This window comes from Homo sapiens, chromosome 15, assembly GCF_000001405.40.
Source record: "Homo sapiens chromosome 15, GRCh38.p14 Primary Assembly".
Taxonomy (NCBI): domain Eukaryota; kingdom Metazoa; phylum Chordata; class Mammalia; order Primates; family Hominidae; genus Homo; species Homo sapiens.
Window position 1 is genome coordinate 65,664,913 of NC_000015.10, and position 18,287 is coordinate 65,683,199.

The 18,287-nt window shown below is 37.7% G+C and overlaps 1 protein-coding gene across 28 annotated transcripts in view; it reads right to left on the bottom strand.

Annotated features, from left to right (window-relative positions):
• The window catches only part of DENND4A (DENN domain containing 4A), a 133,171-nt gene that overhangs the window by 5,790 nt on the left and 109,094 nt on the right, over positions 1–18,287 (bottom strand). For 13 of the 28 annotated variants that reach the window (XM_047432100.1, XM_047432091.1, XM_047432087.1 and 10 more), the window contains 8 exons: positions 11,533–11,722; positions 6,880–6,974; positions 5,101–5,276; positions 4,867–5,013; positions 3,013–3,211; positions 2,537–2,791; positions 433–550; positions 287–313 (listed from right to left, as the gene is read on the bottom strand). In XM_047432100.1, the coding sequence (XP_047288056.1) occupies positions 287–313; positions 433–550; positions 2,537–2,791; positions 3,013–3,211; positions 4,867–5,013; positions 5,101–5,276; positions 6,880–6,974; positions 11,533–11,722 (1,207 nt within the window). Of the gene's footprint in view, positions 1–286; positions 314–432; positions 551–2,536; positions 2,792–3,012; positions 3,212–4,866; positions 5,014–5,100; positions 5,277–6,879; positions 6,975–11,532; positions 11,723–15,435; positions 15,482–18,287 lie in introns of those variants that run through there. The other 15 variants (NM_001376920.1, XM_047432097.1, XM_005254120.6 and 12 more) reach the window with 2 other exon arrangements.

Below are 18,287 nucleotides of genomic sequence, written 5' to 3' on the forward strand. Positions count from 1 at the left end.
CTTTCTGTGGTCTTAAATAGACAATAACTAAGAATATTGTTTCCCTTAATACAGCCTCTGATGAAAATTCTAAATCAGCAGCCTGGGATGGAAACAAATAAAAAATAAGTAAAAAGAAGAAATTGGGATGAGCAATGTGCTGAAAGCTGAATTCTGCAAAACACAACCAACCCCTCCAGCACATACACAGCACCCCTCAAAAAACCAAACCAAAACAAAAAACAAAAAACAAAAAAAAACCCTTAGACCTCCATAGAAGGTAGCACTAAAAAAATCAAACACTCACTCTCAAACAAAAGAGTACGACTTTGACCTGTAAGACAAAAAGTAGTACAGTAAAATAAAAGTCAGTTATACATTGGTTTATGCTATTTAAAGCTAGTAGAGATTACTCTCATATGAACAAAGTCAGCATTCTATGATGGCACTTACTGTGTGCATTCCAGAGAATGTACAAGGGCTGTCCCGGATCCTGATGTAACTTCATATTGTCCCATAACATTTGTATTAAAACATATTTGCTATCTTCAGACATACAGTGGCGGGGAATCTGTGTTATACAATAAACATTCATTAATGATCCTTACATGATAATTTTTCATAAGTATTTTATAAAATTCTTATAAATATTTTTTAGGATGTATATGTGCGAGACAGAAAAGAGAACAGAAAAAGACTGATTTATCTACATTTGATATCTACTACAGGAAGATGGGCTGTGTGGAAAAGCTAATGATCTCTAAAGATCAGATATAACAAAGTACTTGAGATCCGTGAGAAAGGGTACCAAGAAGAACTCATCTTGCTCCTCTTGCTCATGATTGAAAGTCACAGAAAGATAAATCCAGGAGTCCCATCCTATATCATCCAACACCCTGGCCCAGATAACGCTGAGTTCACATCTTTGTCACTCATGTATGATGTACTGAAAATCCGAAGCACATGCACAATCATAGGCATGCAGCACAAGAAGAGAGAAGGCAAGGTTCCTGAACTTAGAGACCACCATTTAGTGGCAGTGGCAGTATATGAAAAAGTAAAGACACTTTTATAAAACAACATACCGAAAATACAAATGAACATATAACAAACAAATGGCCTAAATGTTAAACAAAAATCCAGGGTAAAGGAATGACGAGAGTGGTAGCACATGATTGCAATATGAATTTCAATAGTCCCCCTTTATCCTCAGCAGCTATATTCCAAGACCTCCAATGGATACCTATAACTGCAGATAGTACCGAACCCTATATATACTGTATTTTCCTATACATACATACTTGTGATATTTAATTTATAAATGAGGCACAAAAAGAAATTAACAATAACTAATAATAAAATAGAACAATTAAAACAATATGCCAGCATCACTGCTTTGTGCCATTAAGTAAAACAGGAGTTACATGAACACAAGCACTGTGATACCATCACAGTGGGTCTGATAACAGAGATGGCTACTCAATGATTAACAAGCAGGTGGCATACACAGCGTGGATACACCGAACAAAGGGATGATTCACATCCCAGATGGGACAGCACGAAATTTCATCATGCTACTCAGAACAGCATGCAATTTAAAACTTATGAAGTGTTTCTTTCTGGAAGTTTCCACTTAATATTTTGAGACCACAGTTACCATGGGTAACTGAAACCTCAGAAAGGAAAACCATGAATAAGGAGGGACTGCTGTATAGATATCCTTAAAAAGTGTTAGGCTTGGGCTGGACACAGTGGCTCCTGCCTATAACCCCAGCACTTTGGGAGGCTGAGACAGGAGGGTCACTTGAGCCCAGGGGTTAGAGGTCACAGTGAGCCATGACCACACCACTGCACTCCAGTCTGGGTGACAGGGCGAGACCTTGTGTCAAAAAAAAAAAAAAAAAAAAATTAGGCTTGTTTTGAAAGAAGTACAAGATGTAAGTGGGCCTAACTCACAAATCTGCTTCCTAAGAGTCATTTCCAGTTTATTCTTGAAGCAATAGCAAAAATTCAAGTACGTTTAATGTAAATTTTAGGAGAAGGCAAAAAAAAAAGACTCTTATTGCTAGCCTGTAAGAAGAAAATATTATTTGTAAATACAACTAAAACAATTCTATTTATCTAATGACCCAGAGGGCTATTAAAAATATTTAGCATAGGCTGGGCACGGTGGCTCACGCCTGTAATCCCAACACTTTGGGAGGCTGAGGCAGGTGGATCATAAGGTCAAGAAATCAAGACCATCCTGGCCAACATGGTGAAACCCCGTCTCTACTAAAAATACAAAAATTAGCTGAGCGTGGTGGTGTGTGCCTGCAATCCCAGCTACTTGGGAGGCTGAGGCAGGAGAATTGCTTGAACCCTGTAGCTGGAGGCTGCAGTGAGCCGAGATAGTGCCACTGCACTCCAGCCTGGCGAAAGAGTGAGACTACGTCTCAAAAAATAAAATAAAATAAATTTAGCATAAAAACAGACCTTACTTTTTAATCATTAGGAATATGCAAACATTACAATGGTAACAGAAGCATTCATTGCCTTTTAATTTTTAGTCTCATACCTTTGAATACTTGTTACAGTGCTCAGAAGAAAGAATCAATCCAGGTAAGTTACTGGGCAAGTCAAGACGTCTGAAATACCATACCAGGTTCCAAAAAACAATTGGATGATGGTCCACAAAGTCTGCTACTGTTATTGCATGATCACCTTCATTTTCCAATAAGCTTTCAAGTTCTTTCCATACCACTAAAGGACTAAGATACGGAACAGTGACAGGATCGGGACTTGGAAGGTGCCATTCTAAACCTAAAGAATCCTGTTGAATAAATAAAAACCATAAATGGCAAATGCAAAATAATACTAAGCCATTAAAAAATTCAATGATTCCCATATGAGTAGAAAAGTAATATAATTGTATCATGGGATAAGAGACTCTTCTTGGCAATAATAAAGCTAATAAGACTACTTAAGACAAGGGGAACAAAATCATACGTAAGTGATCAATTTCCAAATAAAAAAATACACCAAAATACATACTGTAGCTCCTTGTAAAGTAGCTGGCAGGCTGCCTGTAGAAATGAGCTTCTGTCTTCCAGTATCTTCCTTATCCAAGGGGCCAGAAGTACTAATACTCCTGGCCATTGGAAATATTGGACATTTAGACATAGCTGTTTTTGATCTATTAGCAGGGATCTGAATACTTCGGGTGCAAAAATTTTCCTGCAGTTTAGATTTGCTTGGGAATTGAAAAAAGAAGAAAGTGTATCAGTGTCTAGATTTACTTTACTTCATCAACAAGGATCATGTTCTCTCTCTCTCTCTCTTTTTTTTTTTTTTTTAAGACAGAGTCTTGCTCTGTCACCCAGGCTGGACTGCAGTGGTGTGATCTCAGCTCACTGCAACTTCTGTCACCTAGGCTCAAGCGATCCTCCCACCTCAGCCTCCCGAGTGGCTGGGACTACGGGCACACGCCACCATGCCTGCCTAATTTTTGTATTTTTAGTAGAGATGGGGTTTTGCCATGTTGTCCAGGCTGGTCTCGAACTCCCAGGCTCAAGCCATCTGCCCACCTCGGCCTCCCAAAGTGCTGGGATTACAAGTGTGGGCCACCACTACCGGCCATGTTCTTCTCTTTAGAATCCGAGCTAGATGGTCGGGCGAGGTGGCTCACACCTGTAATGCCAGCACTTTGGGAGGCTGAGGTGGGTGGATTGCCTGAGGTCAGGAGTTCGAGAGCAGCTTGGCCAACATGGTGAAACCCTGTCTCTACTAAAAATAGAAAAATTAGCCAGGTGTGATGGCAGGCGCCTGTAATCCCAGCTACTTGGGAGGCTGAGGCAGGAGCATTGTTTGAACCTGGGAGGCAAAGATTGCAGTGAGCCAAGATTGCACCACTGTACTCCAGTATGGGCAACAGAGTGAGACTCTGTCTCAAAAAAAAAAAAAGAATCAGAGCTAGACATGGCAACATGAATGAAAGGAAATGCTACTCAGGCTTCAGCTGGGAAACAGGATATATTTTTAAGTAGTATAGTCATGATAAATTTCCTTTTTTATCAAATCAACTGTAAATATTCAAAATTCATTCATTTATTCAAAACATTTAGTAGACTTCTATATAGCAGAAAGCACACTAGACCATGGGGATAGAAAGCAGAGAAAAAAGGCACATATTCCTTCAGGAGTCACAACCCAGGAGACAAAGATAAGGGCTACAATAGACCGGTGATGAAAGAAGGTGCACAAACAGATTTTTGGTTTTATTAAGTAATCAAGATCACACAGGTCACGTTAGCCTGCCAACACTATACAGGCATTTTTTGGCACATGCAGCTACCAATATGGCTTCATCTGTCCAGCTATATATGGCTTATTTGGCACTTCCGCACAATGGAATTGATTTCTGCATCAGTTTTAAGTGTAGATTTACTTATATTAGGCTTACTATATAAATTTTAGTTTAATTTCGCAGTTCCTATATCAGCTCCAAATGTTTTCTTAGATTATTAAATATTCCCTAGGTAGAAAATTAAATATTAAAAAGTAGTAGTATTGACTTAATTCCTGAAGAGATAGAGACAAGAAAAAAGATAGTCATTATAAACCTCAAGTGTTCTACATTTTTTTTACCTTTAAAATACTAGTAAACATTATCATATATACATACAGCTTAAACTCTGGGGATTAATAAAGCATAACATATAACTACATATTTAAAGATTTATGTGATTAGAGAATTTTAACACTGTTTTAAGAGTAAGAATTTAAGATTATGAATCTGTTATTCATAGACATTTAAACCTGGAAATGGTCAACTAATTTTTCTGTCATACTTCTAAAATATGTGTAAATATATGTTGTTAAAATATAGTTCCACATAATCATAATTACCTATTTAGATCAAAATTCCCTTGAACAGAGAGAGCAGATGTGTCAAGACCAGAGGCTGATGTTGAAATGCAAGACTGCCTCGTCTGACTTGAAATGGAGGATGGAAAGTGCATATTTTCTGTTGATGGGCTTGACTTTAGAAAGTATCTGTAATGTGAATCGAAGGAACTTTTTGAGAAAAGAGATATTATAGGGAACATGATCCTTAAACATGAAGGAAAAAAATATCATTACCTTCCAGGTCGTCTTAAATCTCTTATTTCTATATTCAGAAAGGGTAAGAAGATATTGCCACAGAATGGGCATGTAGTATTGAGATTTGAATCATCTGCTGTCCAGCCAGCCATGATTTCCTCATCATGGACAAGACAATCACAAGTTCTACACCGAGAGCAACTTGAGATGAGAACCTGTGGGAGAAGATAGCACTTTATAAAGAAAGCTGGTTAATTCAGATTATGAATTAAAAACCATTTCAATTCATAAATTCATTGGATAATTAAAACCCAGAAGGATTCAGATGCTATACACAAACACTGGATTACATCAGTGTATTATATACTATAATCGTCTTCAGCTAAATCCATTCCAGAATTTTTGCCTGAAAGGGAAACTTGCTTTTAAGTGAGGATTTTTTTCATTATAAATCAGAGTAAAATGTGCTGTGGTTTTATTAATGGAAAAGTAAACTCAATCACTAATTTGTTAATACCCCAAACAGGCATTTGTAATTACATATTACAAATCAGTGTGGTTGCCAGACCAGTACTGGTCTACAAACACTTACTGGATTGTGATGAGATAAATAAGAAATTGAGAGGAGGATTTATAAACTTTTTAAAGTACTGTGATATTGCAGTAACATCTAAGTGTGTAATCAATGTATTTTCTAAGAATATTAGCTATGACAGATTAGAAATTAAACAAACAAAATGAAAACAACCCTGGTCTTTTACAAAAGACAGTTTAATAAGCATTGCTATAGATAACTATAAATGCTATCATTATGTTAAGAAAATATAGAAATTCTTGAAGCCTCCAGAAACTTTGTAAAGTTAGTGTTCATCATCTATGTTTTGGCTGTATGCAAATTTATTTTCCAGATTTATGCAAATTAACATAAAATAGCAACCATACTCACAAATGTATTTGGAAGCAATTTTTACAGAAAAATTAGGAAAAAGTTTTAAAGTGAAAAAGTATAACTTTTTCATTTTAAGTATGTGGGATACAAACGCTTACCCAGCAGAGACCTACGTCAAACTGACACAAAGAATGAAAAACATGGTGGAAGAAACTGACAACATAATGCCAAAACTACTCCCTGTACATTCACCAAAAAAGTATGCTTGCATAGCAAAACTGATTGTGTTTATTATGTGAAATAAACACTCAAAGAGAACATTCATGAAACAAACCCAAATACTAACAAAGAAAATTAAAATGCTTTTGTAGGTTGATAAACCTTAAAGTAAGCATAGATCTGTCCTAATAGAAATAAGTTAGTATGACTTCAATAATCTGAAATACTGGATATCCAAAAGCTAAATTTTAACTTTACTCAGATGCAATTCACATTCTGAAATTTCAGGTGCTATGTATTTAACTTATTATTTTTTCTCTTTTTTTGAGATGGAGTCTTGCTCTGTCGCCCAGGCTAGAGTGCAGTGGCGTGATCTCGGCTCACTGCAATCTCTGCCTCCCAGGTTTAAGTAATTCTCCTGCCTCAGCCTCCCTAGTGGCTGCGATTACAGGTGCCTGCCACCATGCCTGGGTAATTTTTGTATTTTTAGTAGAGACGTGGTTTCACCATATTGGCCAGGCTGGCCTCGAACCCCTGACCTCAGGTGATCCACCCATGTTGGCCTCCCAAAGTGCTGGGATTACAGGCGTGAGCCACCGCGCCCAGCCTATGTATTTAACTTCTATTACTCTACCTGGGACCACTAATACTTAAGAAATGTGCATTTTATAAAGCAGTATATGAAGATTCTCTTTTGCACAAAAGTGTACCTCCATTGCATAGTTCTGGAAGATATTTGTATTACTCGCGTTGAAGGAAGATGTCACTTCTGATTTCCCAGGTAAGGCAAACTTCGACAGAGATCCTGTTCATTAGTGAAAAACAAAGAACAGAAACCATTAAAATTAATGAGAAAGGATATAAGAATCTTTTACTTCCATAAGTTCTCAGATAAAATGTTAACCTATTCCAGTCAAAATATTAAAACTAATTAGGAAAAACAAATAAATAATGAACAAGATTTTTTCAAGGCATGAAGTTTTGAGCACAAACCTAAGGAAATGTGCTCTAATTCTGCTCATCCCCACATCTTAGGTGTGTCCACTCATTACTGACTTACTAAAGCACTTTATGTGAACAGACTAGAAAACATTCTAGTCATTAGTAATTATTGTGCTGTTTCTATTTTTTCATGTTTAAAATACAGGAAAGTATTTAGTTCCAAGGTCTAAAAAGTATAAAATAGCCCATTTTTATTTCAAATCATGAAAAAGATTTAGTGGCAATTCTCTCCTTATAAGGGTCTTTTAAGAACTAGAATAGCTGGGCATGGTGGCTCATGCCTGTAATCCTAGCATGTTGAGAGGCTGAAGTGGGAGGATTGCTTCAGGCCAGGAATTCGAGACCAGCCTTGGCAACATAGTGAGACCTTGTCTCTACAAAAAAATAAAAATAAAGAATTAGCTGGACGTGGTGGTGTGTGCTTATAGTCACAGCTACTTGGGAGACTGGGGTAGGAGTCCAAATTTCTTGAGTCCAGAAATTTGAGGTTACAATGAGAGCGTGGGCAGCAGAATGAGATCCTGACTCCAAAAAAAAAAAAAAGATGGTTAATCTTGCTGTTTGCTCTTAAATACTTGAGAAGAATTCCCAATTATATTATTAAGAACAATAGGATATTAGTAAATATTAAAACAATAACAACGAAAAAGTAAGGGAAGTTTTGTGGTCAAATCAGTTGTCGACAGTGATTGTATCTTGTCAGTAAAACTGGAGGTGATCTATGTTATACCTTCTCAACACATGTTTTTCTCTGTCATTACTACATTTTATGAATGAGTACTGGTATTTTTTTTTTTTTGAGACAGATCTCACTGTTGCCAGGCTGGAGTGCAGTAGCCTGATCTCGGCTAACTGCAACCTCCGCCTCCTGGGTTCAAGCAATTCTCCTGCCTCAGCCTCCCGAGTAGCTGGGACTACATGCGCATGCCACCACACCCAGCTAATTTTTTGTAGTTTTAGTACAGATGGGGTTTCACCATGTTGGCCAGGATGGTCTCGATCTCTTGACCCTCATTATCTGTCCACCTCAGCCTCCCAAAGTGCTGGGATTACAGGCGTGAGCCACCGTGCCCAGCCGAGGACTGGTATTTTTATAAAGATAAAGATCAAAAGGCCAGGCATGGTGGCCCACGCCTGTAATCCCAGCACTTTGGGAGGCTGAGGCAGGTGGATCAGGAGTTTGAGACCAGCCTGGGCAAAATGGTGAAAACCCTGTTTCTACAAAAAATACAAAAAAAGTAGCCAGGCATGTTACTGTGTGCCTGTAGTCCCAGCTACCTGGGAAGCTGAGGTGGGATGATCACCTGAACCCAGGAGGAGGAAGCTGCAGTGAGCTATGACTCTGCCACTGCACTCCAGCCTGAGTGATAGAGTGAGACTGTCTCAAAATAAATGATAAACAAAGGTTAAAAAAAAAAAATGGTGTAAACTACCAGTCCATGAGAAATAAGAGGGGATGGGAAAACATGTTAAACACCACCACCGGGATACAATCAGCATGATCCAGACTAAAGACTTGATTGCTTAGCAAATAAATAACAAGGAGGAAAAAAAAAAAAAAAAAGGTCCAGAACTATCACTGGTCCTACTCCCTACCATGTAGAGACACCCTAGAGAGGCAGAAAACGAGCTGAAATCTCACTGTCCTTTAAGATGCTTAGCACTGGTGGTAAATGCAGTTCTTCCCTTGATGCTTCTTCCCAAAAACCTTCTGTAATCCCTCTGCTACAGCTAGTTCAAAATTGCTTCCCCAAACTTTCTATTAGCCTTGAGTATCATTTATTTGAGCAGCCTACCTTTTGTATCTAACTAATCTACAGTATAGAATATTCATTTTAATAAATATGAATCAGGCTGTAAGTTTAGTGTTATTTGCTTAGACAATGAACTGTTCTTGTATGTTAAAAAAGAAAAGAAGGGAGTGGGGCTAATCACCTAATTTCTTCATAAATATACAGCAAGGGGGAAAAAAAGAGGGAGAGGAAGGGGAATAAAGACAAAAAAGAGTTAATAGACATATCAGCCAAATGCAAATGCTGGCCCTGTATGGACCCCAATGTGAAAAAACCATCTATAAAATGAGTTTTATAACCATGAAAATTTGAAACTAAATATTTGATATATATGATAAATATCACTTAAAAGTATGATGGTATTATGATTTATGTTTTCAAAAAAACACTTCATAAAAGATACATACTATTTGAGCCCATAAAGTGTTCAAAAATAGCCGAGTTAATCTATGGTGTTAGAAGTTAATGTTTACCTGTAAAGAAAGAAGTGACTAGACATGGGCACGAGAGAGGGTTCTAGATGCTATGAATGTTGTTTCTTGAGCTGAGTGCTGATTACTCAGGTGTGCTGAATTTGTGAACGTATTGACATTCATAAAAGTATAGCTGAGTGTGGTGGCTCAAGCCTGTAATCCCAGCACTTTGGGAAGCCAATGCTGGAGGATCACTTGAGCCCAGGAGTTTGAGACCAGCCTGTGAGATCCCATCTCTACAAAAAAATAGCCGGGTGTGCTGGTGCACGCCTGTAGTCCCAGCTACTTGGGATGCTGAGGCTTGAGCATGGGAGATCATGGTTGCAGTGAGCCATGACTGTGCCACTGTACTCCAGCCTGAGCAACAGAGTGAGACCCTATCTTAAAAAAAAAAAAAAAAGACACATTATATGTTACACTTAAATAGTTTAAAATAGATAACATAAAAGTCTCTTACTTTAGAGATACATATTGAAGTTTATGAATAAAATTATACATTGTCTGAGATTTGCTTGAAATAACTCATTGAGGAAGGAGAAAACGTTGGCAGCAAAGGAGAAAGGAACAGATAAAGTAAGATTGGTTATTGGTTGATAATTATTGAAGTTGGTGATGGATACATGGGGGTTCATAATGCTATTCCTTATACTTTTGCATGTTTGAAAATTTCCATAATAAAAGCTTTTTAAAAGAGCAAAGATAAAGTGAAAAACAAATCTTCTATTACATCCATTCTTCATACCATTAACCAGGATAACTTTCTATGGATCAAATATCTAAATCAGAGGTAAAATCCATATTTGTATGGCCCTGAGCTAAGAGTGTCTTTTACATTTAAAAAAGCTGTTAAAGAAACAAACAAAAAAGAATATGTGACAGAGGTGTATGTGGCCTGCAAAACCTAAAATATTTACTACATAATGCTTTACACAAAAAGTCTGCTGGCCCCAGAAAATATTAAGAAGGAAACCAGATAAGTATCAGAAGAAAACACTGGTGGATTCTTTTACATCTTAAGGAAAGAAAAACCTTTTCTAGCAACTCACAATCCAGAAGCAATAAGGGGAAAGACTGATACATTTGATGATATAGAATTTAAAACTTACATATGGCAAAAAAAACACCCCCAAAAAACAAACTTAGATAAACTACTTGCAACTTATATAAGCAACAAAGGATTAACTCCCCAATATAAAAAAAGCTACTAAAAACATTAAAAAAAAAAAGGACCAACAATTAAACTGTAGGCAAAGGACAGTCCACAGAAGAAGAAATGCAAATGGTCCTTAAACAGATTCTCAACTTCATTTATAAGAGAAATAGAAATGAAAACTGACTGAAATACATTCCTCACCTATCAGATGGTAAAAATCCAAGTGTGCCAACATAGTTTGTTGACAAGGCTGTGGGGAAATAGGTATTCTCATATACTGGCAGTGGGAATGCAAAATAACCTGAGGAAGGGAACTTGGCAATAGCACTTCAAGGAAGAATTCTGAAGTATCTTCCAAAGACACACTGGTAAAAATATAACATATATGCATTATAGCATTAGAAAAACTGGAAACTTGACATCCATTAATAGGGAAGTCGCTAAAATAAATTATAATACATCCACACATGATGTATAACTATAATTTTGTACTATATAGCTGAAAAAATGAATGGGGAACATTGCTATGGGATGATATAGAATGATCTTCAGAGTATATTAAGTGAAAAAATCAAGGGGTAGGAAACTATTGACAGTATGTTACCTTTGAGTAAGAAGACAGGGAAGTAATAAGGAAAAATATATATATATATATATATATATACCTATACCTATATTTTTAAAAAAGCAACGATGGAAGGATAAACCAAAAATGAATAAAAATGGTTGCTTCTAGGGATAGGGAGAAAACAGGATGAGGGAGTGGGGATGAAAGTTATACTTTTGTGAAAGTGCCTTGGTTTTATTGTTTTGACTTTGGAACTATACAAATTGTTTACAAAATTAAAAAACAACATTAAATCATAAAGAAAAAAGTGAAAGTGTCACAATTCAAATGAAACTACAAATCAAATGCAGTATGACAGAACTGTTTGGACAAACCTTCCAAGGATGCAGAACTTTCCAGGCTTATTCGGCTGAGATCAATTCTCTTAGTCCCTGAAGTAGCACTGGTCTCTTGAGAGGAGATAGGTCCTTCCAACTCATGGCAGACATCTTCATCTGTTAAAGAGGTAGATTCAGAATCCTGGGCTCCCACTGAAGAAAGACTGGTACGATCAGAACTTTGATCCTAAGGACATAATTATAAGCTTAATTTCTTGTACATTTAAAGGTAATTAATTAAAAAGTCACTTCTAAGGCAGAAAAAACACTTATCACCTAACTACCCAGATGATCAGCTGAACTAATATTACAACATCTAGAGAAAAAAACAAGCAATTTTACAAAGGCATGCTAATTTGGACAAATGTGCTGCAGTTCAATTTTTAGGAAATCATTTTTTAGTTACAGCAAAGTATATACTAGTTAGTAAGGTAACCTCGTTGACTTTTAATTTCCATTTATTGATAATTTTCCTCTCTGACAAGGTATCACCCAAACATGAAACCACTAGAATTACGTTTTATTCTTTTCCACAATATCCAAGGTTTCAAAGACATATATATTTCTACTTTTCATTTTTGAGAACACTGAAGTTAAATCTTTTTCTGATTATATTAAAAATACATGAGAAAATCTGGTAGCTGTAGATTTTTACACGAAAAAAATTTAATACCTGTAATTCCACCTTGGAACCCATAAAGGATGAAAATATTTTACTACATAAAAATGTTATGTGTGTGCATATTGTTATTTTTAATCATATAGGGCAAAAATTTTTTTTTGAGACAGGGTCCACTCTGCTTTCCAGGCTGGAGTACAGTGGGCAATCTCAGCTCACTGCAGCCTCTGCCTCCCAGGCTCAAGCAATCCTCCTTTCTCAGCCTCCCGAGTGGCTGGGATTACAGGTGTGCACCACCGTGCCTGGCTAATTTTTGTATTGTTGGTAGAGACAGGGTTTCGCTATGCTGGCCAGGCTAGTCTTTACTCCTGACCTCAAGTGATCCACCTGCCTTGGCCTCCCAAAGTGCTGGAATTACACGCCTGAGCCACCGTGCCTGGCCGGGCTTTAACATTTTTACATAGTAAAATATTTTCATCCTTTATGGGTTCCAAGGTCTGTATCTTGCTAATGAAGTAATTCTCCACTCCTAAATGAGAAAAAAATTTTTTAAATGTGCACTTAAATATCTAATCCATCTAGGATTATTATTTTTTTTGTTCAGTGAAGGGCAGGAATCTTTTCCTCAAGTGGATACCTAAGTGTACCAACACATTTATTTAATATTCTCATTTCCCACTGATGTTAAATGCTATTTTTTCATATCCCAAACTTCTATGTACATATACAGTTTTATTTCTGGACTTTTCTCCATTCCACTGGTCCATTTATCTGTTTTGCATTGATTAGCAAACTGTTTTAATTATAGTTTTAGCATTAGTTTTGTTAGTTTTGGTATTTTAGAGTGCAGCCTCTTATCTCTTTTTTTTTTTTTTTTTTTTCAAAGAATTTTGGTCTGAAGCCCAGGCTGGAGTGCAGTGGCATGATCTTGGCTCAGTGCAACCTCTGCCTCCTGGGTTCAAGTGATTCTCATGCCTCAGCCTCCCGAATAGCTGGGATTACAGGCGCCCGCCACCATGCCCGGCTAATTTTTGTATTTGTAGTAGAGACGGGGTTTCACCATGTTGGCCAGGCTGGTTTTGAATTCCTGACCTTAAGTGATCTGCCCGCCTCGGCCTCCCGAAGTGTTGGGATTACAGGCGTGAGCCACAGCACCTGGCCTCATACTTTTCTTTTTCAAAATTTTCTTGATTATTCTCATGTATCTTCTCTATCAATTTTAAAGCAGCTAATTATGATTTGTATTATTTAGTCACCAGGTATTTGGTTTGCCTTTTTTTTCTTGTATTTTAATTAGACTACCCTGACTAATTTGGTTAGAACTGATACCTTTACAAGACTGAATCCATCAGTAAATTATGTCCTTCAGTAAAGTATTATAGTTTTATTCATGTAGGTATTATACACTGAAGTTTACTTCTAGACATTTCATGTTTGTGTTCTAGTGAATTAGCTCATATTTTTCCATTACTTTTCTAACTGGCTATTGTCATATCCAGGAAAGCTGTTTTACAAATGTTTGTTGTTTCTAGCCACCTTACCAGTTCAAACAGTTTTTCAGTGGTAGTAGATAACCTCATTTATGAGAATATCAAGTTTTATTAAATTCTTTTACAACATTTTTATCTATCATTTTTTGTTTTGAGACAGTTTCACTGTGTCACCCAGGCTGGAGTGCAGTGATGTGATCACAGCTCATAGCAGCCTCGACTCCTCAGGCTCAGGTGATCCTCCCACTTCAGCCTTCCAAGTAGCTGGGACTACAGGTGCACACCACCATGACTGGCTAATTTTTTGTATTTTTAGTAGAGACAGGGTTTCACCATGTTGCCCAGGCTGGTCTTGAACTCCTAGACTCAAGTGATATGCCTGCCTTGGCCTCCCAAAGTGCTGGGATTACAAGATGAGCCACCATGCCTGGGCTTTATCTCTTACTTCTTTTCCTTGCCTTCTGGTATTGTTAGAATCCAGAATGCTGTTGGGTGGCACAGGTGTTCAGCATGCTTCCTTCCCTTGATCCTGACTTTATGATTTTATTATTATTTTGAGACAGAGTCTAGCTCTGTCACCCGGGCTGGAGTGCAGTGGCCCCATCTCAGCTCACTGCAACCTCCGCCCTCCACTTCCCAGGTTCAAGTGATTCTCCTGCCTCAGCCTCCCGGGTAGCTGGGACTACAGGTGCATGCCACCACGCCCAGCTAATTTTTTGTATTTTTAGTAGAGATGAGGTTTCACCATATTAGCCAGGATGGTCTCCATCTCCTGACCTTGTGATCCGCCCGCCTCGGCCTCCCAAAGTGCTGGGATTACAGGTGTGAGCCACCACACCTGGCCCGATCCTCACTTTAAAAGAAATAATTATAATATTTCAGTTAGGAATGGTGTTTGCTATAGTTTTTTGATACTCTATCAAGTTAACTAAATGTTCTTCTATTTCATCTTTTTTTCATTTTATTTTTTATGATATTAAAAACATTTTTTTGAGGTAGGGTTTTGCTCTGTCATCCAGGCTGGAGGACAGTGGCACAATCACGGCTCACTGCAACCTCCACCTCCAGAGCTCAAGCAATCTTCCCACCTCAGCCTCCCAAGCAGCTGGGACCACAGGCATGCACCACCACACCTGGCTAATTTTTTTTTTTTCTAGAGATGGGGTTTTGCCATGTTACCCAGGCTAGTCTTGAACTCAGACCTTCCCTTGAATGACAGAGCTCAATGTTAGCATGTCTGTAAGCAGGCCACCCTTTAGAGTGCCTGGATGGGTAATTGGAAGAGAATGTACAGGGCGACCAAACAAAGGAAGGTTTTACTTTGGTTGGTGGGTACTTCAGTATATTTTAAGTAGAGTGGGGCTTCCTTAAAAAAACTCTGGGCTAATAATGAAATTTTGGAATTACTTTTAACCCTACTTTCTTTCTCATCTCAATGCCTGTCCTTGGTATCTCTCCTTCACTCTTAGTACTTACAGATTTCATACCTTTGTGAGCTGGAGTATTTCATTTTCACAACTACTCCTGCAAGAGGAAAAACAACGCCTAGCCTAACTATTCCTTAAGTAGTCTTTTAATTTAATTACCTGGCTGTGTAATTTTATACTTCTGCCTGCTCACCTGGGCTTCATTCACAAGAACAGTTCTCATCTTGGTAGCTGATCTCTCTTATGACTACTTTGGAGGCTATACTTTCTGTATTCAGGCATTTTCATCAATCCAGTTTCATTTGCTTTCTCATTTTCAGAAAGGTATGAAAATTTCTCATCTCCTGATGGCATACTTTTCTTCTTTCATTGCTTTGATGGATTTATTATATTCTCCTATTTTTCTGTCACTTTAATGGGATTTTGAGGAGGAGGGAATACAGATATGTATTTTAACATCCTGAACCAGAAGTCTTGTTGCTGTTTATGCATACAAGAATTACTTAGTATAAAAAATAAGACGAATAGTTGAATTTTTCTAATTAAAATACAGATTATGCATGTTTGAGTAGATTATAAAAAAGAATGATTTTACATTGAGAGACATTAAATTCTTTATACATAAAAAAATTAATGAGACTAAATTTCACTGAGTATAGCAACAATAACCATTTATTTAGTGCCTTCAATGAAGGCACTGTACAGACCTACCTTGGAGGTATGGCAGGTTCAGTTCCAGACCACCTCAACAAAACAAATGTCGCAATAAAGCAAACCACAAATTTATTTCCCAGTGCATATAAAAGTTGTTCACATTACACTGAAGTCTACTGTACAACAGCATTATGTCTAAAAAATGCACATAAATTTTAAAATACCTTATTACTAAAAATTGCTAACAATTATGTGAACCTTCAGCAAGTGGTAATCTTTTTGCTGGTTGAGGGTTTTGCCTGGATATTGATGGCTGGTGACTGAACAGAGTGGTGGCTGCTGAAGGTTGAGTGGCTGTGGTAAAAAAGAGGATAATAATGAAGTTTGCTCCATTGACTCTTCCTTTCAAGAAAGATTTCTCTGTAGCATGTGATGCTGTCTGACAACTTTCTTTGCTCATCCATTAGAAGCAACTCCTCATCCCTTCAAGTTTTATTATTTGATTGCAGCAATTAAGTCACATCCTCAAGGCTCCACTTCTAATTCTAGGGGTTTTTGCTATTTTCACCATATCTGCATAATTCCTCCACTGAAGTCCTGAACCCCTCAAAATCATCCTTGAGAACTGGAATCTATTTCTTCCAAACTCCAGTTAATGTTGCCATTTTGATCTCCTCCTGTGAATTATGAATGCCATTAATTGCATCTAGAAGAGAATCCTTTCCAGAAGGTTTTCAATTTATTTTGCCCAGATCCATCACAGGAATCACCACCTATTATGGCTATAACTTTATGAAATGTATTTCTTAAATACTAAGTTAAAAGTAAAAGCGACTCCTTGATCCATGGGCTGCAGAATGAATACTAGCATGAAAACAATAAATCTCCTTGACATTTCTTTTTTCATCATTCAACTTGACTCCTTGACATTTCATTTTTTTGTTTTTTTTTTTTTTGAGATGGGGGTATAATTCTGTCAGCCAGGCTGGAGTACAGACAGTCATCTCAGCCCAATGCAACCTCCGCTTCCCAGATTCAAGCGATTCTCCCACCTCCGCTTCCTGAGTAGCTGGGACCACAGGCATGTGCCACCACACCCAGCTAATTTTTTGTAGAGACAGGGTTTTGCCATGTTGCCCAGACTGGTCTCAAATTTCTGAGCTCAAGGGATCCGCCTGCCTCAGCCTTCCAAAGCGTTGGGATTACACGCGTGAGCCACTGCACCTGGCAACTGCTTTTCTATTGGAGCTCTTGCATGACTAGGTGCATTGTCAATGAGCAGTAATATTTTGAAATAAATATATTTTTTCTGAGCAGTAGGTCTCAACAATGGGTTTAAACATTCAGTAAACCATGTTGTAAACAGATGTGCTGTCATCCAGGTTTTTTGTTCCATTTACAGAGCACAGGCAGAGAGTAGCTTTAGCAAATTCTAGGATTTTCAGAATGGTAGATGAGCATTGGCTTAATTTAACATCACCAGCTACACTACCCCCTAACAAGAGAGTCAGCCTGTCCTTTGAAGCCTGGACGCCGGACACTGACTTTTCCTCTCTCTCCATCAAAGTCCTAGATGGGCATCTTCTTCCAATACAGGGCTGTTTGATCTGCATTGAAAATCTGTTGTTTAGTATAGCCACCTTCATCAGTGACCTTACATAGGTCTCGGGGATAATTAGCTACATCTTCTATATTAGCACTTGCTGCTTCATCCTGCACTTTTATGTTATAGAGACAGCTTCTTTCTTTAAACCTCATGAGCCAACCTCTGCTGGCTTCAAACTTTTCTTCTGCAGCTTCCTCAGCTTTCTCAGCCTTCATAAAACTGAAGAGAGTTAGTTAGGGCCTTGCTCTGGATTAGGCTTTAGCTTAAGGGAATATTGTGGCTGATGTGATCTATCCAGACCACTCAAACTTTCTCCTTTTTGGCAATAACACTGTTTTGCTGTCTTATCACTCATGTCACTTTTAATTTCCTTCAAGAACTTTCCCTTTGCATTCACAACTTGGCTGTTTGGTGCAGGAGACCTCACTTTCGGCCTTTCTTGGCTTTTGACATACCTTCCTCATTAAGCTTAATCATTTCTAGCTTTTGATTTAAAGTGAAAAATGTGTGACTCGTCCTTTCATGTGAACACTTTAGAAGCCACTGTAGGGTTATTAATTGGCCTAATTTCAATATTGTTGTGTCTCAAGGAATAAGAAGGCCTGAGGAGAGGGAGAGAGTCAGGAGAATGGCCATTTGGTGGACAGTCAGAAATTACACAACATTTATCGATGAAGTTTACCATCTTATATGGGAACAGTTCATGGTGTCTCAAAACTATTACAATAATAACATCAAGGATCATGGATCACAAGTCACCATAACAGATATAATAACAAAAAAGTTTGAAATATTGCAAGAATTACCAAAATGTGACACAGAGACATGAAGTAAGCACACGCTGTTGGAAAATGATACCAATTGACTTGCTCAACACAGGTTTGCCACAAACTTTCAATTTGTAAAAAGCATGACATTTGTGTAGAGCAGTAAAGCAAGTGCAATAAAATGAGACC